Source organism: Homo sapiens, chromosome 7, assembly GCF_000001405.40.
Source record: "Homo sapiens chromosome 7, GRCh38.p14 Primary Assembly".
Taxonomy (NCBI): Eukaryota; Metazoa; Chordata; class Mammalia; order Primates; family Hominidae; genus Homo; species Homo sapiens.
The window spans coordinates 45,035,949-45,059,760 of record NC_000007.14 but is presented as its reverse complement, the minus strand read 5'-3'; the positions used below and the strand labels follow the sequence as shown (position 1 = coordinate 45,059,760).

The 23,812-nt window shown below is 43.7% G+C and overlaps 1 protein-coding gene across 15 annotated transcripts in view; it reads right to left on the bottom strand.

Moving 5' to 3' along the window:
- The window catches only part of CCM2 (CCM2 scaffold protein), a 76,725-nt gene that overhangs the window by 16,710 nt on the left and 36,203 nt on the right, over window positions 1-23,812 (bottom strand). For 10 of the 15 annotated variants that reach the window (NR_030770.2, NM_001363458.2, NM_031443.4 and 7 more), the window contains exon 2: window positions 21,335-21,508. The exons of the other annotated variants lie outside the window; for them this stretch is intronic. Coding sequence is in view for 9 of the 10 variants with exons in the window: in NM_001363458.2 (NP_001350387.1) it covers window positions 21,335-21,508 (174 nt within the window). In the remaining variant the exon portion in view is untranslated. The remainder of the gene's footprint in view (window positions 1-21,334; window positions 21,509-23,812) is intronic. 15 annotated transcript variants of the gene reach the window in all.

Sequence of the window (23,812 nt, the reverse complement as noted above, 5' to 3'; positions counted from 1 at the left end):
TATATACACACATACACATTTTTGAGACAGGGTCTTGCTCTGTTGCCCAGGCTGGAGTGCAGTGGCACAATCACAGCTCACTGCAGCCTCAACCTCCCAGGCTGAAGCGATCCTCCCACTAGTAGATGAGACTACACGCACATGCCACCAGGCCCAGCTAATTTTTGTATTTTTTGTAGAGACAGACGGGGTTTTGCCATGTTGCCCAGGCTGGTCTCGAACTCCTGAGCTCAATCAATCCGCCCGCCTCGGCCTTCAAAAGTGCTGGGAATACAGGCATGAGCCACCGCACCCAGCCTGTATTTTTTGTTTTTTCTTTCTTTCTTTCTTTTTTTTTTTTTTAACAGACAGGGTTTCGCCACATTGCCTAGGCTAGTCTCAAACTCCTAGGCTCAAGTGATCCTCCTGCCTTGGCCTCCCAAAGTGCTGGGATTACAGGCATGAGCCACCATGCCTGGCCAAAACTTTTAAACAAAAAATCAGCAAATTGAATCCAATAATGTATTAATAATTATACACCACGACCAGGCAGGATTTATCCCAGGTGTGCAAGGCTAATTCAATGTTCAAATATCAATCGTAGCGGGGGCAGTGACTCATGCCTATAATCCCAGCATTTAGAGAAGCCAAGATGGGTGGATCACCTGAGGTCAGGAGTTCAAGACTAGTGTGGCCAACATGGTGAAACCCCATCTCTACTAAAAATAAGAAAATTAGGCTGGTCATGGTAGCTCACACCTGTAATCCCAGCACTTTGAGAGGCCAAGGTAGGTGGATCACCTGAGGTCAGGAGTTTGAGACCAGCCTGGCCAACATGGCAAAACCCCGTTTACACTAAAAATACAAAAAAAAAAAAAAAATTAGCTGGGCGTGGTGGCAGGTGCCTGTAATCCCAGCTACTCAGGAGGCTGAGGCAAGATCGTGCCACTGCTTTCCAGCCTAGGTGACAGAACAAAAACTCTGTCTCAAAAAAAAATATATCGTTGTAATCCATCACATCAACTGGCTAAAGAAAAATCATATGATTGTAGCAATAGATGTAGAAAAAGCATTTGACAAATCTAACACCCATTCATGACAAAAGCTCTCAGCAAACCAGGAATAGAGACTTCCTGAACTAATTAAAAACATCTATTTATGAAACTGGAAACCATCATTCTCAACAAACTATCGCAAGGACAAAAAAACAAACACCGCATGTTCTCACTCATAGGTGGGAATTGAACAATGACAACACATGGACACAGGAAAGGGAACATCACACACCGGGGACTGTTGTGGGGTGGGGGGAGGGGGGAGGGATAGCATTAGAAGATATACCTAATGCTAAATGATGAGTTAATGGGTGCAGCACACCAACATGGCACATGTATACATATGTAACAAACCTGCACGTTGTGCACATGTACCCTAAAACTTAAAGTATTAAAAAAAAACACCCTAAAGCGAACATCATACTTAATGGCAAAAAGTTAGATACCTTCCCCCTAAGATCAGGAACAAGGCAAAGATGTCCCCTCTTATCACTATGATTTAACATCATATAGAAGTCTCAGCTAATGCAATTATGCAAGAGAAGGAAACAAAAAGTATAAAGGTTGGGAAACTGTCTTTGCTGACAGATGACCTCTCTGACTGGGAACCAAGCAAGGAGGTCACTCTGGAGATTTCCGAATCCAAGCAACGTAAACACGGTGACATGAGTCAGTCTACCTGCTGCTTGCTATGCAATGTAGCCTTCTCACTGGATGGAGCAGGAAACAGGCAGAAGAGTAACTGGCTGAAGCACACTCAGGGCACGGTGGCAAATACAAGTTCATCTTGGGCTTAGTCAGATGGGCAACCTAAACTTCAGAATTGCGTGTGCTGGGCAGCTCCATAAGGAAATGTATAGTTATTCCAAGAAGTTTTATATTTCATAAGGTGAGGATGGAAGTGGGGAGGGAAGAATGCAAAAGTATGTATTGGCTTCCCCAATCTCTATAGTGCTGGTAAGACCCTTCTGATAATTAGAGCAGTTTCAGAACAAATAAGCAGCACATCCAAGTACTGGCTCATCCTTAGCCTGTCATCAGTGAACATTTTGGAATGTTTCCACAGACCTGCCCTTAGCTGAGGCCTTTCCATCCTCTTCCTATCTGCTCATATAAACCAAATGTAGATACTGCTTACATTTATCAGTAATAAATTTCAACTATTTTCATACTTCCTGATTTCAAAACTTACTACACCACCACAGTCATGGAAAGAGCGTGATATAAAGACAGACACTGACCAATGGATTGGAAAAGAGAGCCCAAGGCCAGGCGCGGTGGCTCACACCTGTAATCCTAGCACTTTGGGAGGCCGAGGCGGGTGGATCACGAGGTCAGTATATCAAGACCATCCTGGCCAACATGGTGAAACCCCGTCTCTACTAACAATACAAAACTTAGCCGGGTGTGGCGGCGCACACCTGTAGTCCCAGCTACTTGGGAGGCTGAGGCAGGGGAGCTGCTTGAACCCAAGAGGCAGAGGCTGCAGTGAGTCGAGATCATACCACTGCACTCCAGCCTGGGTAACAGAGTGAGACTCCATCTCAAAAAAAAAAGAAAGAAAGAAAAAAAGAGAGCCCAAGAAAGACCCTTGTGTATATGGTCAGATTATTTTCAACAAGGGTGCCATGATGAGCATTCAATGGGGAAAAGACAGTCTTTTCAACAAATGGTGCTGGGAAAACTGGATATCCACAGGCAAAAGAATGAAGTTTAGACCATTTACCTAACAATATTTACAAAGATTAACTCAAAATGGGTCAAATATATAAATGTGAGACCTAAAACTATAAAATTCTTAGAAGAAAACACAGGAAAAGCTTCATGATATTGGATTTATCAATGATTTCTTGGCTATCACACCAAAAGCACAGGCAACAAAAGAAAAACAAATCTGGACTTCACCAAAATTAAACACTTTTGTGCGCCAAAGAATACAATCAACACGGTGAAAAAACCCACAGTATGGGAGAAAATGTTTCCAATCATATCTGATAAGGGATTAATATCTAAAATATATAAAGAAGTCCTAGAACTCAACAACCAAAAACCAAACAACCCAATTAAAAACTGGGCAAATGACTTGACATTTCTCTAAAGATACACAGATGGCCAATAAGCCAAGCATGAGAAAAGATTTTCAACATCAATAGTTATTAGGGAAATGCAAATCAAAACCGTAATGAAATACCACTTCACACCCACTAGGATGGCTACTTTTTTCTTTTAATAGTGACGGGGGTGGGGTCTCACTATGTTGCCTAGGCTGGTCTTGAACTCCTGAGCTCAATTGATCCTCCTGCCTCAGCCTCCCAAAGTGCTAGGATTACAGGCGTGAGCCACCACACCCAGCCTAGATGGCTATTTAAAAAAGGGAAAATTACAATTGTTGGCAAAGATATGGAGATATTGAAACCCTGTGCATTACTGATGGGAATGTAAAATGATACTCCTGTGAAAAGCAATATGGTGGTTCCTCAAAAAATTAAACATGGAATTAGCATATGATTCAGTAATTCCACTTCTGGGTATATATACAAAAGAAATAAAAGCAGGGGCTTGAAAAGACATTTGTACACCCATGTTCATAGCAGCATGATTCACAATCAACTAAAGCAAGAAACAACTCAAATGTTCATTGACAGATAAATGAATAAACCAAATGTGATCTACACATACAATGAAATATTATTCAGCCTTAAAAGCAATGGAAATGCTGACACATGCTACGACATGGAAGAACCTTGAGGGCACTGTGCTAAGCGAAATAAGCCAGTCACAAAAGGACAAATATTGTATGATTCCACTTACATAAGATACCTAGAGTAGTCAAATCATAGAGACAAAAAGTAAAGCGGTGGTTGCCAGGGGCTGTGGGAGGGAGATGGAGAGGCATTGTCCAACAGGAACATGGTTTCAGTAAGGGCTGGTGGGAAGCTCTGGAGATGGATAGTGCTGATGGTTGCACAACAATGTGAATTGATTTTATGCCATTGAACTCTACACTTCAAAATGATTAAGACAGTAAATCTTTTTTTTGAGATGGAGTCTCGCTCTGTCACCTAGGCTGGAGTGCAGTGGTGCGATCTCAGCTCACTGCAACCTCTGCCTCCTGGGTTCAAGCAGTTATCTGCCTCAGCCTCCCAAATAGCTCGGATTACGGGCACCCGTCACCACACCCAGCTAATTTTTTTGTATTTTTAGTAGAGACGGGGTTTCACCATCTTGGCCAGGCTGGTCTTGAACTCCTGACCTCGTGATCCACCCGCCTTAGCCTCCCAAAGTGCTGGGATTACAGGCATGAGCCACCGGGCCCGGCCGATAATAAATCTTATGTATATTTTACTACAATAAAAAATTTCATCTAATTAGCTTTATTCAATTTCATTTGCTATCCCTCCTAGTTTTGTATCATCCACAAATATTATTCTCTGTTCTCAAAAGGGTAATAAAAAATACTGACTAAGATGGGGTCATATGTCAAGTGCTTTGCTGAAACAAAAGTACCCCGGAATTATGTTTACAGAATTGTACAGGAATTCTCCCTGGCCTCCCTGTGGCTGGGGTGACACGACATCACCATCATTATCTTGCTTTTCTTTGGTGTTATCCAAAATCTGGCCATGATGCTTCAAAAACTCAGGCTCACAGATCTCTAAAGAGGATTCACGATTCTACTTTCTTCCTATAGGGATGAATCTTTACTCATTTGAGATTTTTTTCACTGTGAAATATTTATAGTAGGAAAACAACTTTTGTCAATAAAGAAAAAGTACAGCTCTAATCCTTGTTCTAATATCTGAATAGGATACGGTATGTATGCCTCCTGGACAGTTCTCAAAATGGGCTCCCCATCTGCCCTGGGGAACCCTGTCTCCTGGGTGTCCCCTGGCCAACACCCAGTGCCCCTATGGCAATGCCATGCCCAGCCCACACCCACTGTCCCAGCAAGCCAAGAGCACAGCTACAAGAGAGAGGACCACGGTGAAGCAGTGAGAGAGCAAGGGGACATCTGACCAGCCAGCCATCAGCTCCATCAGTTCTGGGATTAGTGAAAGAAGACGGTATGGCCAGGTGGCCTCTCACACACCCTTGCCTGACTGCCAACCACACAGCTCCACGCTGGCAGGCTCACCACCTCCTCAAGCACCTTGTCTAGGGGGTGGGGTAGGGGAGTTGGCTCTAAACAGAAAATTCTTCTAAAAACAACTTCTGACAAGATATAAGTGTTTTTTTTTTTAATATTGATCCTAAATCAGTCTCCCCATAACTTCTCTTTATTGGCCTTGATTGATAAAGTTCCCGTGGCAGGGTCTGGGCCCTAACAGGGAAGGAACAGGATTCTGAGATTTGGGATGGGGATAGCTGGGTAAATGCCTTTGAGAACCTTAGTCCTCAAATTCTTCTTAACACTGTGCCTACAGAAGTGACCTATCCCCTTTTGTTGTACGACAGAAGCCCCCCACACACTCCTTGCTTGAATATAACACATAGGCCTCAAATGAAATGGGAATCTCATGAGATACTGCTTGCTCTCCCCAGAATCTGCCCTGTCCTCCTCCATGGCTGACACCGGCTACGGGATGTGTCTAACGAGTTCTGACAGAGCTGGGGAATGCACCTGGGAGAGGACCTCAAGGTGCTGGATCCAGGGGGACAGAATATTAAGCTGAATGAGAGATCTTCTCTACTACGGCATGTACTATAACACAGCATTTAACACCCTGAGAAGGGGTCCAGAGGCCATTCTCAGATACTGCTGGCAGGCTCTTCAAAGTTCAGCCAAAGTGATGGCTCATATTAAAGCAGAGATTGTGGGACTGCTGTGGCAAAGTGGATCCAGGTATCGAAAGGCTCAGGGAAGTAGACATACTATAATCGACATACAAAATGACAGGAAAGCCCACCCGTGGCCCATGTCCCTCAGGAGAACATGATGGCATTCCATCAACCATGGCACTAATGAGTGTGCAGAAGGTCTACAGGCATCACTGGGAAGCTCTGTACTGGCCAGCCTCCGAAGGGGAAGCTAACCATCAGGTGTGCGTGTACAGAACTGGGCTCCCCAGGAGCAAGGGGGTAATAAGACCTTCCCTAGCAGAAGCCAGGGAGCAGCACTGACTCGCACAGAGCAGGTGTAGGTGTCAGCTGGTAATAGGCAGCAAAGTCAAAATAGTAGCCAGGGGAGCCTGGGATCCATGCAGGGATCTATGGAGACGGCTCACAGAATGCTGGAGTTTCCATGGGCAGGACAGATACGAAGCCAAGAAGGGTGCTGCTTACTATATATAAACAAGAAAATCAAAACGGAATAAGCAGAAGGCTAAGGTGAGCTTCTACAATGCAAAGTATCAATCCCTGACTCCGTTTCTAGATCTGGAGCAGCTCTCAGACTCAGAAACACTGACTGAAGGAGAGACCAAGCCTGCGTGGGAGTCGACCTGCAACACCAAGGCAAGTACACACCACAGTGATTTCCCCAGCTCTTCCCAAAGGGACTTCATTCACCTGGGTAAAAGTACCATAGGAACTGCAAGTCTTCAGAGGTTTTTGAAATAGAGGGTCTGAGACAATGCACATACTTAGGGACCCAAACTATCAAAAAGGTCCTCTGCAGAGTAGGAACATATGGGAGTCAGATAATACATGAAGCCCAGCCAGGTCCACCTGAAAGTACATCCACTGGGTAAAGACTCCACTGGTGGCCATCTGCCCACTTCCCTGAATATAAGAGACGTAATACAAGAGGAACGGACATACTTAGCACTTTGCAGAATCCTTCCATTGGTCCTTTGTCTAAAGAATAAGAGCTATAAGTAGAAAAGGCCATTTGGAAGCCCCTGAAATTTATCCGGCCCCTGACCCCTGGCCATAGTAAATCAAAAACAGTATCATTTCCCAGTGGGAAAAGCAGAGATTAATGCTGCTCTTGAAAACATAAATGACACAGGGTAGGGGCCCCCATCTCATGCCCAGTCTGGCTCCTATAGAAATTATGGTGGATAAATTGTGGTAGATGACTGTAGACTGCCACAAACTGAGCTAAATGGAATCTTTATTCAAGTGGATAAACAATCTTGGGTACATGGTTTGTAGCTACTGATGCGGTAAACACTTCTTCCTCAAACCAATCAGGAACTACTGATGTTCATGTGGGATGGACAACAGTACATGTTCACGTTCTTACTGCAGGACTGTGCTAACAGTGCCAGCTGCAGGAACAGGTGGCCCAAACCTAAACACTTCCCAGCGGACCTGTTCTGAAGCCTCTCCCTTAAATTACACCCACAGCCTCAGAAAGGGTTCCCAATACACAGCTGACAGAAAGAAAACCCCAAGCCTGGTTCACATACTTAGGCACAAGCAAATACACTACAGCCCTTCACCGTGGCAGACCTGCCAGCAGGATACCAATTCTGCAGCCCTGATAAGGCATCATCCCCTCCAAGAGACCAACCAGTTGTCCTGTCTGCTGGCCAGCTGAATACTTCAGAACTCCTTTGATCCTGCAATAAGAAACACTTGTTCTGGCAAAAATTAGCATGTCCTCCACATAAGGGTTTGCCTCTCCTGCCTGCAGCAGCTGCCAACCTACTCTCCAAGGGCTTGTGGAGCATGTGGTTTCCGATGTGGGACAGCAAGTACCATCATCACCTTGGATCAAGGGACTCACTTAGTGCTAAAGGAGGTACAGCAGTAGGCACATGATCACGGAATTCAATGTCCTATAAAATACCCTCACGCCTGTAACCCCAGCACTTTGGGAGGCCGAGGCGGGTGGATCACGAGGTCAGGAGATCAAGACCATCCTGGCTAACACAGTGAAACCCCGTCTCTACTAAAAATACAAAAAATTAGCCAGGCGTGGCCGGGCGCAGTGGCTCATGCCTATAATCCCAGCATTTTGGGGGGCCGAGGTGGGCGGATCACGAGGTCAGGAGATCGAGACCATCCTGGCTAACACAGTGAAACCCCGTCTCTACTAAAAATACAAAAATACTAGCCATGTGTGGTGGCACGTGCCTGTGGTCCCAGCTACTTGGGAGGCTGAGGCAGGAGAATGGCATGAACCCGGGAGGCAGAGCTTGCAGTGAGCTGAGATCATGCCACCACTACAGCCTGGGAGACAGAGCAAGACTCCGTCTCACAATAAATAAATAAATTAGCCAGGCGTGGTGACGGGCGCCTGTAGTCCCGGCTACTAGGGAGGCTGAGGCAGGAGAATGGCATGAACCCGGGAGGCAGAGCTTGCAGTGAGCCAAGACCACGCCACTGCACTCCAGGCTGGGCGACAGAACGAGACTATGTCTCAATAAATAAATAAATAAATAAATAAATAAATACCCAAGCATCCTGGAGCTGTCATCTTGATAGAGCTGTGGCCAGCTGGGAGATGACACCCTGAAAGGATGCCCCCTCTTCTTTAGGATGCAGTATACATCTAAACCAATAGTTGCTACATGGTGCTATGTCCCCAGTGGGTGGAATGAGGCCTTGGGACCCACTGAAGTAGTCAGGGCTGTAGTTCATCTGGAAAGGTTTCCAGAAATCATGACCAAATGCCTCTGGAGAAGCTGAGTCTGGATAGAATGAACTTAACGTGAGAAATATGTGGATGAGGAAGTGCAGGGTGGAGTGTAGTACAGGCAGTGGTGTCTCACCCAGGATCCCCCCACTGCTCTGAGGGTGGATGGGTAACACCCTGAGCTACTTCTGTCTTCACCGAGCTGTGGCATTCTAGGCTTTAGAGCATGATCAGGTTGAAATTAACCCGAGTCTATGATTTTCAGGCATCTTTCCCCTCTGCCCTACCCTACCCCCTTCACTCTTTCTCTTGAGCATGCCCTTTACAGATCAGTGGAACATGATCCCCAGTTTCAGGCTCTGCTGCAAGAGAACCAATTGAAGACAATGATGAACAAAGACAAATGACAAACTAGGGGAAAACATTTAAAACTAACTTTACAGCAGAGGACTAACTTACCCGACACACTGAGAGCTACTGCAAAGATATAAGAAAAGAAGCAATAACCCAACAGAAAAAATGGGCAATGGATCTAGAAAGGTAGTCTGAAAGAGACCTGACTTTTGACCATTTGAAAGACACTCAACCTCACTTATAAGTACAAACTATAATGAGAAAACATTTTAAGAATATCAGACTGGCAAAGACCAAAAAGTTTGAATAAACACTGCGTTCCTCAGAGGGTGGAGAAACAGGTACAGTTGTCCCTCAGTATCTGCTGGGGCTTGGTTCCAGGAGCCTCTTGGGATACCAAAATCTGCAGATGTTCAAGTTCCTCATACAATATGGCAGTATTAGTTGCACATAACCTACACTCCTCCTGTGTAACAGTCATGCATCACTCGACAACAGAGATACATTCTGAGAAATATGTCATTAGGCAATTTCATCATTGAGTGAACATCACAGAGTGTAATTACACAAACTCAGATGGTACATTATAGCCCACTACACACCTAGGCTATATGGTATTGCTCCCAGGCTACAACCTGTACAGCATGTTAATGTATGAATACTGCAGGCAGGCAACTGTAACACAATAGTAAGTATTTGTGACTCTAAATACATTCAAACACAGAAAAGGTGATGCGTTGTGCTACAATGTTAAGACAGCTATGTCACTAGGCAATGGAAATTTTTTAGCTCCCTTATAATCTCATGGGACCATTGTCATATGTGTGGTCTGTCGTTGACCAATATGTTGTTATATGGCCAAGACTGTACTTCAAATTATCTCTAGATTACTTATACCTAATACAATGTAAATGTTATGTAAATAGTTGTTACACTGTATTTTTTAAATTTGTATTATTTTTTATTGTTGTAGTGGTTTTTTTATTGTTCTTTTTTTGAATACTTTCAACCCACAGTTGCTTGACTCAGGTGAAGAACCTGCAGAGGTACAGGGCCGCCTGCACACTCACAGAGTCCTCACGTATGCACTGACTTCAACCCTTTATGAAGAGCAATTTGGAAATGTCTGTCAAATTAAAAAGTAACCTAGCCTTAGATCTAGAAACTCCACTTTTGTAATTTATCCTATAGGTACAGTAAAACATACATAACAGTTGAAAATAAATTAAATATGTATTAATAAATCACTGGTTAAATAGAATATGACACAGCTATCTAATGGAATATCATGCAACCATTAAAATGGACGAGGCAGTTTTATGTGTGCTAATGTGAACACTCGGCGATAAATCAAGATACACTGTTCAGTGTAAAAAGCAAGGTGCAAACAGTGTATACCGTGTAATCATTTGGGAAACAAATGCATGTGTAAGCTCATATATGGACAGACTGTAAAGACACAAGAAGCTGGTGTCAGCAATTCCTCCCACGGAGGGTGCACATGATTTCTTTTCACCAAGAATCTCTGTTATCATTTGAATTTTGAACCATGTACATAAATTACATATTCAATTAGATAAAAATAAATAATAGGCCGGACATGGTGGCTCACACTTGTAATCTATCACTTTGAGAAGCCGAGGCAGGAGGATCGCTTGAGCACAGGAGTTCGAGACCAGCCTGGGCAACATGGCAAGACCCCATCACCACAAAAAAATACAAAAATTAGCCAGGTGTGATGGTGCAACATGTGGTCCCAGCTACTCAGGAAGCTGAGGTGAGAGGATCACCTGAGCCCAGGGAAGTTGAAGCTGCAGTGAGTCATGACTGTGTCACTACATTCCAGCCTGGGTGACAGAGTGAGACCCTGTCTCAAAAAATAATAACAAATCTGAGAAGAGCTTCTTGGGTTTGTTATCACAAATGTGATTAATTACCCTGTCCCATTATTAAAACCACACAGCAAGCCTGCTATGAGTCCATTCATAGTCACTAGGTGAGCCCACGTGAGCCTTGCACTGCACCAAATCCTACTGGGGAAAATGTCAGCTTGTGATGGAAACTACAGAAAGAATTTTTTTTTTTTTTTAGACAGTCTTGCTCTGTCACCAGCCTGGAGTGCAGTGGCACAATCTCGGCTCACTGCAACCTTCACCTCCTGGGTTCAAGCGAATCTCCTGCCTCAGCCTCCCAAGCACCTGGGACTACAGGTGCACACCACCACATCCAGCTAATCTTTGTATTTTTAGTAGAGATGGGGTTTCACCATGTTGGCCAGGATAGTCTAGATCTCTTGACCTCGTGATCCGCCTGCCTCGGCCTCCCAGAGGAATGTTTCTACTTTATGAAGGTTTTGTGAAGATTAAATGAGAAAAATATATTTAAAATGTTAAATAGTGTTGCTGCACACAGTAAGCATTCCAAAACAGAAGCTACTATTAAATCCCTCTCAACTTGTTCATTAATGTTCATTCTAAAAACAAAATACTTCCCATAAACACCACACTGGAGTATGTGGGATTAAATGTCTCCTATCACTGGTGGATTTTATTATTGTGATTGTTTTTATTTTATGAAATGTATACAGTTTAAAAAGGCAAATAAAGTTCAAAAAATTGTAAAACAAAACAACAACAATCTCCTTTACTAACTGGGACAACCCCATCCACAAACCACTTCCAAGAGGCAGCCACACTGAAGTCTTCTGATTCTTCTAGGATCTAGAGCCATTTTTCTAAATAATGGGCTTATATTCCTATTGCTTATCAATTTAAGATATTGACTTCCAATTGTATCACCATTCCCACTTTCCCTCTCTTTTCTTACAACTTAGATAATTTTTCTTAATCATTACTTAGTTTTTACATCATTTTATTATCTACATTCTCTCACTGACATGCCAAGTAGTAGTCAAATTGCAATTTCTTTATAATTAAACTTTTATTTTAAGGTAATTGTAAATTCTCTTATTATAAGAAATGATACAGGGAGATCCATCGCTCCCTTTACCCTATTGCCCCCAGCAGTGACATCTTGCAGAACTACAGCACATCACACCAGGACATGGATGTAAACACAGCCAGAGCACCCATCACTGTGAGGACCCCTCCTGTTGCCCTTTATAGGCACACCTACTTCTCTCCACCCCTAGCAAACCCTAATCTGTTCTCCACCTCAGCAACTGTGTCATTTCAAAGATGTTACAGAAAGGAACATACAGTGTGAAACCTTTAGGAACGGCTTTTTTCACTCAACATAATTCTCTGGAGGCCCATCCAGGTTGCTGTGTAGTTTGTTCCTTTGTTGTTGCTTTAAGACAGGGTCTCACTGTCATCCAGGATGGAGCACAGTGGCATGATCATGGCTCACTGCAGCCTGGACTTCCTGGGCTCAAGCAATCCTCCAGCCTCAGCCTCCCCAGTAGGTGGGACTACAGGCAGGTGCCACCATGCCCAGCCCTTTGTATTATTGAATAGTCTTCTGTGGCATGGATGGACCTCATTTTGTTTAACCATTTATCCACCAAAGGACATGGAGTTGTTTCCAGTTTTGGGCTACTATGAATACAACTGTTTTGAATATTAGTAGGCAGGTTTTCATGTGAACATAAATTTTCATTTCCCTGGGATAAATGCCTAGGAGTGCAATTGCCAAGTTGTTCGTAGTTGCACGTGGAGATTTGAAGAAACTGCCAGACTGCTTTCTAGAGTGGCGGTACCATTTTACATCCCTACCAGCAATGAATGAGGGGTCCAGTTCCTCCACATCTTCTCCAGCATCTTGTGTTCTACTTTTTTTAAACATTCTGTTAGGTGTGTATTGGCAGCTCATTATGGTTTTAATGTGCATTTCCCTGATGGCTAATGATGCTGAGCATATTTTCATGTGCTTACTGCCATCTGTATATCCTCTTCATTGAAGTATCTCCTCCTGTCTTTTGCTTATGTCTTAATCGGATTGTTTGTTTTACTGTTGAGTTTTGAGAGTTCTTTATATACTGTAGATACCAACCCTCTGTCAGATATGTGGTTTAAAAATATCTCCTCTCAGTCTGTAGCATATGTTTTCATTGTCTTTTATAGAGCAAGAGTTTTAAATTTTGATGAAGTCCAGTTTATCAGTTTTTTCTTTTATGAATTATGCTTTAGGTATCAAGTCTCAGAACTCTGCGTAGCCCTGCATCCTGAAGATTTTCTATGTTTTATCCTAGAAGTTGTATTTTATATTTAAGCCTATGATCCATTTTGAGTTAATTTTTGTGTTTAAGTTGTGAAATTCAGGGCAAGGTTCAATTTTTGCCTACAAATGTCCAACTGCTCCAGCACCATTTGTTAAAAGGCTATCCTATCCCTTCTCCACTGAATTGCTTATGAACCTTTGTCAAGAATCAGCTGGGCATATATGTGTGGATCTGTTTCTAGTTCATTTTGCTCCCCTGATCTCTGTGTCAGTCCCTCTGCAGATACCACAGTCTTGATTGTGATAGCAGTATGATCTATCTTGAAATCAGACAGGCTGACTCTTCTCATTTTCTTCTTTTTCAAAATTATTATTAGCTATTCTACTTATTTTGCCTCTCCATTTAAATTTCAAGAATAGCTTGAAATTTAAGATCGTGCCACTGCACTTTAAGAATAGTCTTGTTTATATCTACAAAAAATTCTTGCTGAAATTTTGATAGGAATTGTAGAATTCACTTTTAATAGTTACAAGCTATTCAAATTATTTCATATTGGATGACTTGTAGTAGTAGTTTGTGCTTTTCAAGGAGTTGGTCCATTTATATCAACTTAGGGACAAGTAACATACTAATTAGGTTGAGTCTTCCAATCCATGAATTCAGTGTGTCTCTCCACTTATTCAGATCTTTGATTTCTTTCATCAGTGTTCTATAGTTTTCAGCATACAAATCTTATTCATGTTTTGTAAGATTTATACCCGTGTTTCATTTTTTAAGTGATTGTGAATGGTATTGATTTAATTTTGATATCCACATATTCATTGTTCAAAAACATATCTTGTTTGTCTGAGTTTGTTTTGTTTTGTTTTGTTTTTTTGAGGCAAAGTCTCACTCTGTCACCCAGGCTGGAGTGCAGCGGCATGATCTGGGCTCACTGCAAGCTCCGCCTCCCGGGTTCATGCTGTTCTCCTGCCTCAGCCTCCCGAGTAGCTGGGACTACAGGCACCCGCCACCACGTCCGGCTAATTTTTTGTATTTTTAGTAGAGACAGTGTTTCACCATGTTAGCCAGGATGGTCTTGATCTCCTGACCTTGTGATCCACCTGCCTCGGCCTCCCAAAGTGCTGGGATTACAGGCGTGAGCCACCGCACCCAGCCCCATTTGTCTGAGTTTTTAATCAAGAATGGGTGCTGAATTTTGTCAAATAAACTTTCTGCCACTGATTGATATAATTATGTGATTTTTCTTCTTTAGCTTGTTAATATGATGGATTACATTTTTTTAAGCGGTGATTTTTCTTTTATTTCTGCAAACATATGGTATTATTAAGCAATTCATCTAACTTCCCATTTATGGAAATCAATACAAAAGTTCCAAGGTGATTCAAGTTCCCATGCACAATAGCAGGGCCTGAATGGAAACCAGGCGCTGATTTTTCAACTGAAACTGCACAAACTACTCTAAAGAAATTGCTCTATCAGCTGTCACTTCTAGCTGCACCTAGCAGCTATAACGATAGTGGAGCAAGTGTTCAACATATATTTGTTGAATAAGTTAATGTCAGATAGAAAGAAAAGGCTAGACATATGTAAAGGTATCTGATAAGATACAAATATTGATACAGCAAGAACACAAAGACAGGCCACAAATAATTTCACCAATTTCTATTATACCTTCAGAACAGCACTATCCAAACTAGTTTTGTAAAACCAAGAGGCTTTTCTAGTCATCTTGGGGATCGGTTAGAGTTTAGTTATGAAATCTTCAAAACAAAATTTTAATAACTTTTGAATTAAAAATCATATTATAGGGTATACTTAAGAGGTCTAAGGAAGGAAGGAAGGAAAATAAGAATCACTGTAACAATCACAAAGTATTATGGTTCTAGGAAAATTTGGAAATAATTATATTCTCCATAGTAATTTGCCATATGAGGTCACTAATGTCTCTTCCCTACCTCTAGAAAATGGTAATTCTCTCCATAAACTAGTAAAAAATGTTTGGTGGTTCTGTGATATAGTCTAATTCTACTGAACATAAAAAGACAGCCCAGTCAAATTGGGCTAAATCTTGAGGACCAGAAGTGTAGTTTATGCTGTAAGGAAGTCAAGAGTCAAGATGGGGAACTTACAGCAATTGGGGTTTCCCTCCTTTGAATCTCATCCTGGAGATGCCTCAGAAGCAAGTGGGCTATAGATGGAACTCAGAACGTAATATAAAAACTACAGCTGGGCCAGACGTGGTGGCTTACACCTGTAATCCCAGCACCTTTGGAGGCCGAGGCGGGAGGATCACAAGGTCAGGAGATCGAGACCATCCTGACCAACACGGTGAAACCCCATCTCTACTAAAAATACAAAAAAAGATTAGCTGGGCGTGGTGGCAGGCTTCTGCAGTCCCAGCCACTCGGGAGGCTGAAGCAGGAGAACAGCGTGAACCCGGGAGGCGGAGCTTGCAGTGAGCGGAGCCTGCACCACTGCACTCCAGCCTGGGCGACAGAGCGAGACTCCATCCCAAAACGAAACAAAACAAAACAAAAAAACTATAGCTGATATTCTGGAGGGAATGGAAAAAATAAAGACAGATCTGTGGAACACAGACCTCAAGCACTGGAAAGGCAAGATCACAAACTAAACAACTAATTCTGGAGGGAGAAGAACTGATAAGCCAGAGAAAACAAGAATTTACAATAATCCTAATAAATATTCTCAAGGGCATGTAGGAGGGCACTGGAAACAAATAGGGACAAGGAGTTATAAAAAAGGACCAATCAGATATAGTAGAAACAAACAATTTAATTCAGGGTTGAATGAATACAGTTGAGGAATGAATTCATAAGACGGAGAGTGGTTTGAAACATTCCCAGAAGGCATTGGGAAGAGTAAAGAATAGGAAAAATGAGAGAAAAATGAAAGGGCATGAAAAATAAAATAAATATCAATATGTGATTAATGGGAGCCCTAGAAGGAAAGAAAAAAATAAAGTTAAATATTTGAAGAAATGTTAATTAAAATTTCTCCACAATTTTTTTTTTTTTTGGGATGGAGTCTCACCCCATCACCCAGGCTGGAGTGCAGTGGCACAATCCCAGCTCACTGCAACCTCCGCCTCCTTGGGTTCAAGTGATTCTCCTGCCAATGGATTACATTTTCAAGTATCAAACCAGCCTTGCATCCTCAGAACAAACTCCACTTGTTCACGGTGTATAATTTTTTTGTTGTTTATTCTCACAGCCACAGTAGGTATAATTTTTTCTATATTGCTGAATATGTTACCTAATAGTTTCCTGAGGAATTTTATGTTTGTATTGGTGTCTGTTATTTCTTTTAATTTTGCACTGTTTTTTGTCTGGTTTGGTATCAGGGCAATACTGCCCTTACAAAATGAGTCAGAAAATATTCCAAGTGCAGTGGTTCATGCCTATAATTCCAGGACTTTGGGAGGCTGAGGTGGGAGGACTGCTTGAGTCTAGGAGTTCAAGACAGCCTGGTCAACACAGTGAGACCTCATCTCTACAAAATAAAAAATTAGCTGGGCATGGTGGCAGGCACCTGTAGTCTCAGCTACTCAGGAGGCTAAGGTGGGAGGGCTGCTTGAGCTTGGAAGGTCGAGGCTGCAGTGAACCATGATCATGCCACTGCACTCTAACATGGGCAACAGAGACAGACCCTATCTCAAGGAAAAAAAAAAAAAAAAAAGAAGAAGAAGAGAAGAGAAAGCAGAGAAGAGAAGAGAGAACAGAAGAGTTCCCTCCCTTTCTGTTTTTCTGGAAGAGTATGTAGAATTGACATTAATTCTTTAAATGTTTGATAGAATTCTCCAGTGAAACCATTTGGGCCTAAAGACTTTTTTTAATGGGAGTTTTCAAATTAGATACTGAATTTCTTTAATAATTATAGGGGTATTCAAATGATCTATTTCATATTGGATGACTGTGGGAGGAGTTTGTGCTTTTCAAGGAATTGGTCTATTTTTTGGCCCACTGTGTGTGGAGTTGCTTGTGTTCTCTCATTATCCTTTTGATTCTCAGGGTCTCTCAGAACTTGAAGAATGTTGTGCCACTGGTCCTCATTATGTGTAACAAGAAATCTGCTTTCTGTTTTCCCCTATGAGTAAAGTGTTTCTTTCTTGCCACTTTCAAGATTTTTTGTTGTTGTTGTCTTTACTTTTCAGAAATTCTACTATGATGGGCTTTAGTAGTGGATTTATCTTGTTTGGCGTTTGCTCAGCTTTCTGAATCTTTTAAGTTTGTCCTTTGCCAAACGTTTCAACCCATAAGATCTTTGAAAAGTTTTTCAGCCCTTCCCTCTTTCTCCTCTCTTTTCAGGACTTCAACAATACAAATGCTAGAAAATTTAACCTAGGCCCTCAGAAGGGAAGGGAACGGCACCTTTTTTTTTTGAGATGGAATCTCGCTCTGTTACCCAGGCTGGAGTGCAGTGGTGAGATCTCAGCTCACTGCAATCTCCATCTTCCGGAGTCAAGCAATACTCCTGCCTCAGCCTCCTGAGATTACAGGCGTGTGCCACCACAACTGGCTAATTTTTGTATTTCTAGTAGAGATGGGGTTTCACCATGTTGGTCAGGCTGGTCTTGAACTCCTGACCTCGTGATCCGTCCGCCTCAGTCTCCCAAAGTACTGGGATTACAGGCATGGGCCACGGCGCTCGACAACACCACCTTTACCACCAAGTAGGGGTCAAAGGTCAGATTCCCTACTTGGCCTCCTGCGTGGAGGGCTCCTTCCTCGTTACTGCTGGGTATGATAAGAGTTCTGGTTCCCCATGTGGCTTCCACTGATTCTTCCCTGGTTGGAAGGAATAGGAGGGCCTCATTACTGCCCCACCCAATGTGGTCTCCACTAACACTCCAGAACCACACAAGGTTCCTTAGGGGTTTGTTACTGCCCAACAGGGATAAAAGTCCATGGTCCCTATTCAACTTTCTCTGGAGGAGTAAGTGGCCCTCACTTAGCCTCTGGTAGCAGGCACAGAGGTAGGACCACAGTCCTTTCTATCATGTTTGGTTTGCACTGAGCAGTTGTCTAAATATTCTCTGTTTTGTGCTAGGCTGCCCCTTTCCTGGTCCTTTGGTCAGAAGGAGCTGGCTTTGGCAGGGGGTTCTGTCTGTACCTGTTGGTGTTTCTGGGCTGCCAGTTTCTTCGGCTCATAGTCTGGGCTACATGAGGCAAAAAGACAACCTGAAGAAATCACTACTGGGTCATTTTCTGGGTCCTGGGTGGTCTGCGTTCTCTTTACCTTTCAGAGTGTTCTTACGTTATTGCATATAGTGTCCAAGGATTTTAGATTTTAGATGCACTTAACTAGAAGAACAGGGAAAAGAATGTCTACTTCATCTTCCCAGAAACAGGAGTTTCCAACATTTAAGTTTTCATTTTTAATGATTTATTATCAATTCCTCCACACCTCTATTTGCTTTGTTTCTATGTACTATTCTATTTCTTCAGCAACTTCTCAATACATTATTCTACCCAAACATATAGTCTATACTTACTTATCCCAGAGCTTCTGTGGCCTGTTTCTTAGATTAATTTCCTGGGACTTCACTTTCCTGTCATCCTGGGAATTATCTTTGTTCCTTTCCCTGGCAGACCCCTTGGGCTATGAATCCGTGTCTTCCTATTCTTGGTTTGCCCTTGTGTTTTGTTTTGTTTTTGAAGACCGCGTCTCACGCTGTCGCCTAGGCTGGAGTGCAGGGGTGCGATCTCGGCTCACTGCAACCTCCGCCTCCCGGGTTCAAGCTATTCTCGTGCCTCAGCCTCCCAAGTAGCTGGAATTACAGGCGTGTGCCACTACACCTGGCTAATTTTTCTGGCATTTTTAATAGAGACAGGGTTTCGCCATGTTGGCCAGGCTGATCTCAAACTCCTGGCCTCATCTGATCTGCCCCCCTTGGCCTCCCAAAGTGCTGGGATTACAGGCGTGAGCCACCATGCCCGGCCTCCCCTTATGTTTTGATGCAGCACATCCTCCAGTAACTTCTAAGAACAGGCTTCTGTGAGTTGAGGTTTTAGAGACCTGTCTAGTCATCATGACAGGATCCTTTCAATGGGGGGAGTCATGTCCATCAGTCAATTATTCAAAATGTTCTTCCTTTACTGTCTTAATAACTTCTTCTCACTCTTCCCTTCATTCTTTTTTCTTGGGAGTCAGATGTTGAACTTCCTGAATTGGTCATCTAATTTCATTTCTCTTTCTCATCTTTTGTTTATTAACCTTCTTTGTTTTTTGAATATTCTTTCTGGGACTTTTTTTTACTTTTTTTTTTGAGACGGAGTCTCGCTCTATTGCCCAGGCTGAAGTGGCACAATCTGGGATCACTGCAAGCTCCACCTCCTGGGTTCACGCCATTCTCCTATGTCAGCCTCCCGAGTAGCTGGGACTACAGGTGCCCGCCACCGCGCCCGGCTAATTTTTTGTATTTTTAGTAGAGACAGGGTTTCACTGTGTTAGCCAGGATGGTCTCAATCTCCTGACCTCGTGATTGGCCTCCCAAAGTGCTGGGATTACAGGCATGAGCCACAGCACCTGGCCTTTTTTTTTACTTTTATCTTTCAACACCTCTATTGAATTTTTTAAAGATATATAAATAACATAGTTGTTTTGTTTTGTTTTCTTTTGACATACAGTCTCACTCTTTCACCCAAGCTGGAGTGCAGTGGTGTGATCTTGGCTCACTGCAACCTCCACCTCCCAGGTTCAAGCAATTCTCCTGCCTCAGCCTCCCAAGTAGCTGGGATTACAGGCGCCTGCCACCACGCCCGGCTAATTTTTGTATTTTTAGTAGAGACGGGGTTTCTCCATGTTGGCCAGGCTGCTCTCGAACTCCTGACCTCAAGTGATCCGCACACCTTGGCCTCCTAAAGTGCTGGGATTACAGGTGTGAGCCACCGCACCTGGCCTAATTAACAGTTTTAATTCCAGAAGCTCTTCCTCTCACCTTTTTATTTAAAAGTAGAATCCTGTTGTCACTGTCAACAATATTTCCTCTTATCTTTCTGAAAATATTATATACTTTTACATTTCTTCCCCTATTTTCTGCATTGTTGCTGTTTATTCATGTTTGTGTATTTGTCTTGAGCTCTGCCTTTAGGTTGAAAGTTGTCCTCAAATGTGTACTTATACTCAGCTGCCTGTGTTTGAAATGAGGCTCCAAAAAGCTGACAGACGTCGGATGCCTGGCGGGAGTCCTGACTGTTGGAGTTTATTCAGGCTGGTTGGTTGGGTAAACCCAAGGGCCAGTAGGGGCTGCTTAACTTCCCCAATGAGCACCCTTCCAAGAATTCCTTTGTGGGAAAGGCCTGGTTGCAGGCATTCTAGAAGCTTGAAAGAAAAAGGAATTGGGAATTCTCTCCATTCCACATACAGGCTTTGACTTGACTTCCTTATCTTCTGTCTTGGTCTCTCCCCACCTGCCCCTGTACCAGGTTTCTGCACGTCCAAAGCCCCATCTTCCAGTGGGTGGGGATGAGTTAATCATCTGGCTGAGCCAGGTGAGAGTGGAAATCCCTCCCATGGACATTCGAACTGCCCCATGCCCCTCCTGAGCCCCCTGGACTCTGGGTCCTCTGCAGGAACTCGGGTCTGGCTGCATTAGCTCTAACTCATCTCACCCTCAGCGGTTTCCTTCTTCCATGTTTACGGACCACCTCATCCACTGTTGTCTCCTTTCCTATTCTCTCTGACCTCATGGCTTTATACCTTTTTATTCATATATTTTCATTTTAGGGGAGGGATTAAAAATCAACTTATGCACGTCACATGGTTTATGCACAGTATTTTGGCCTCAGGCCTTTGAGACCCAATGATGAGCCTCAAACACATGGTCTGAATTCTAGGCGGTGACTGTTAGACCTGCAAGGTCATGGCCTTGACCAGGTAACTCTTTTCAACTGCAAACTACAGGAGATGTGAGTTTTCTCCCAGCTCTTTAACCCTCTTCTGGTGGAGCAGCACATACTACTCACACAGCCAAGTCTTCGAGAGAAAGAAGGTGGCATTGCTACTACAGAAAAAAATAAACTGGGGTCAGCAGACAGAATCTGGGTTTTCAGTTATCCAATTATTAAATTTATCAGCATAGACAAGACAATGGGTGGGATAATCAACTACTAAGGTGTTTGTGTGGCTGTGTCTTATAAACTCAAGAGTGTCTGGTGGATACAAGCATGACCGTCACTGTCGTTTGGCAGGCACGTCCTGTGGCCCATGACGACTTACCTTTACCTCCTTCTCAATATAGTCGCTCAGCAGTCTGTCTGGCTCGACGCGCTCAGGCAATGACAACACCACAGTGTGCAGAGGGCGCCTCTCTGTCACCTTCTCATGGGCTTTCTTATCTCTACTCTTTTCACCTTTTAGGAATACTCGTTTAAATGGCGAGACAATTCCAGGCTGCAGGCAGAAACGGCAATGATTGGAGTTCATTATTTACAAATGCTTTGTGTTGTACCTATGGTTAACAAACAGAAGTAGCCAAAACTACTACCATGGCCCCCATGCAACAGGGATCACTGACTGCCAGACTGGTGAGAAAGGTACCAACAGCACACAAGCCTGAGGGACCACAGCCAGCACGCAGGCCGGCACGGTGGGGCTGGGCTGCCATGCAGCCTCTGGCATGGAGGCACCTTGTTCTTCACCTGTTCCTACAACACATAGAAGCCAGGTAACCTTATCTGGCAAGACAATGATAGAAGGGGGAGATTCCCCACAGAAGATAAAACATAACATCACTCCAACTCTTTCCAGCTCAGCTGGGACACTTCATTTCTGAGAACTCCAGGAAGGCAGGTGGAAGGTGTGGCCAGTGCTAGCATCAACAAGTGGAGCATATGTTTTTTATGCAATTCTTTCCCCAGTGGGGAACACTCCAAGTGGGGACACTGAGTGTGTTGAGCTCCAATGCAGATCAACAAGGGAGAAACCAGGCCAGGCACGGTGGCTCACACCTGTAATCCCAGCACTTTGGGAGGCTGAGGCGGGTACATCACTTAAGGTCAGGAGTTCGAGACCAGCCTGGCCAACATGGTGAAACCCCATCTCTACTAAAAATACAAAAATTAGCCAGGTGTGGTGGCACATGTCTGTAATCCCAGCTGCTCGGGAGGCTAAGGCAGGAGAATTGCTTGAACCCAGGAGGCGGAGATTGCAGTGAGCCGAGATGCCACTGCACTCCAGCCTGGGCAACAGAGCAAGATACTGTCTCAAAAAAAAAAAAAAAAAAAAGTAGGGGGAGAAGCCCTGATCAGCAGCTGGCCAGCCCCTAACTCTGATGACTTCACACCCTATCCAGCATTTCATGAGGGTTCTGAAGGCTAATCCTGCAATCAAAGTCACCTTAAAGAGTGAGAATCAGTGAGAGAGCAAGAGAGGATTACAGCAAGCCTCGCCTGCAGAACCCAGGAAAAGACCTGACACTTCATTCACAATAACTCCGTAAGAAAGCTTTTCATCACCACCTTTGACAATGGCGGCGGGGGGTGGGGGTCTGGGGGGAAGCAATCCCAAATTGTGCTGAGAGATCATGCTACAATCCCTATCTACAGTCACCCAAAGGAACATAAACCCGAGAAAACAAGACACTGATGTGCAGCCGCAGCAAGGAAACATCACGCAGGCCTGCAAAAACCAGAGCCGTGACTAAGAGTGAGAACTTATTCCCCACCATCTCCTCCATAACTCTCAACAGAGGAAACGCAGGAGGAGATGACAACACTCCTTTTGCAGGTGCCTGCCAGGATAGGGTGACCCAGTGCACAGATGGCAGCCGAAACCCCCACAGTAGGCCAAGCTCAGACCCCCCTTATCACCAAACACAGAAACTAACAAAACATATATACAATAAACCACCAAACTTTCATTAAAAGCTCTCATTTCTGTCTCTCTCCAGCATATGGGAAATTCACCCATATGCAAAATCCAATATAAAACGGTGTAGCAGAACCTGTGGTCCTATAAGGACACCTCCTCAAACCCACCAATTTCACAGACAATTGCAGCCAAGGACTACACTATTCAGTAACCACTCCTGAAAAAAGCAGAAATTGGTCGTCCAGTGGCTCCCAGCAGGCCCTGCAGCTGCCTCCCTAATGAGGCTGGGGTTGGACCCTGCCCTGTATGAGCCCCTCCCCACCACCACCATCATGCTCAGCTCTCCAGCATTAGCGGGAAAAGTAAATAAGCAAACAAAAGCCACCCCAAATAAAACAAATCCTCAAAGAGCAAAACCCAACATTTTTCCTGACCCTGCTGCCTCCTGACAGCCAAGGCTGAGCTTTCTGCTCCTCAGCTTCCTTCTTACCTTTATTTATTTCACCCTTTCATAGCTGGGTTTTTATTCCATTCACCCACTAAAACAGACATGGAATCAGGAAGCTCTTTCAATAAAAACGAAAACAAAAAACACAACAGAAAGTCTTGCTTCCAGAGAAGTGCACTAACGCTGCCACCACGCCTCTGTCACTCTGTCCCCTGTGTTTCCTGCATCTCACGCACCCTTTGCCAGCTCTCTTTCTTCTACCAGTAAAGATAGATGTTCCTCAGGTCCTAGGCATGATCTCTGCTCCGGCATGCATTGGGCTGCACCACTTACTAAGCAAACTGGTTGGATGAGCTCTCACCATCTGCACAACAGGCTAACAATCCTTAGAGAAGTGCCACAGGCAATCAATACAATAATCTACATAAAGTTCTGAG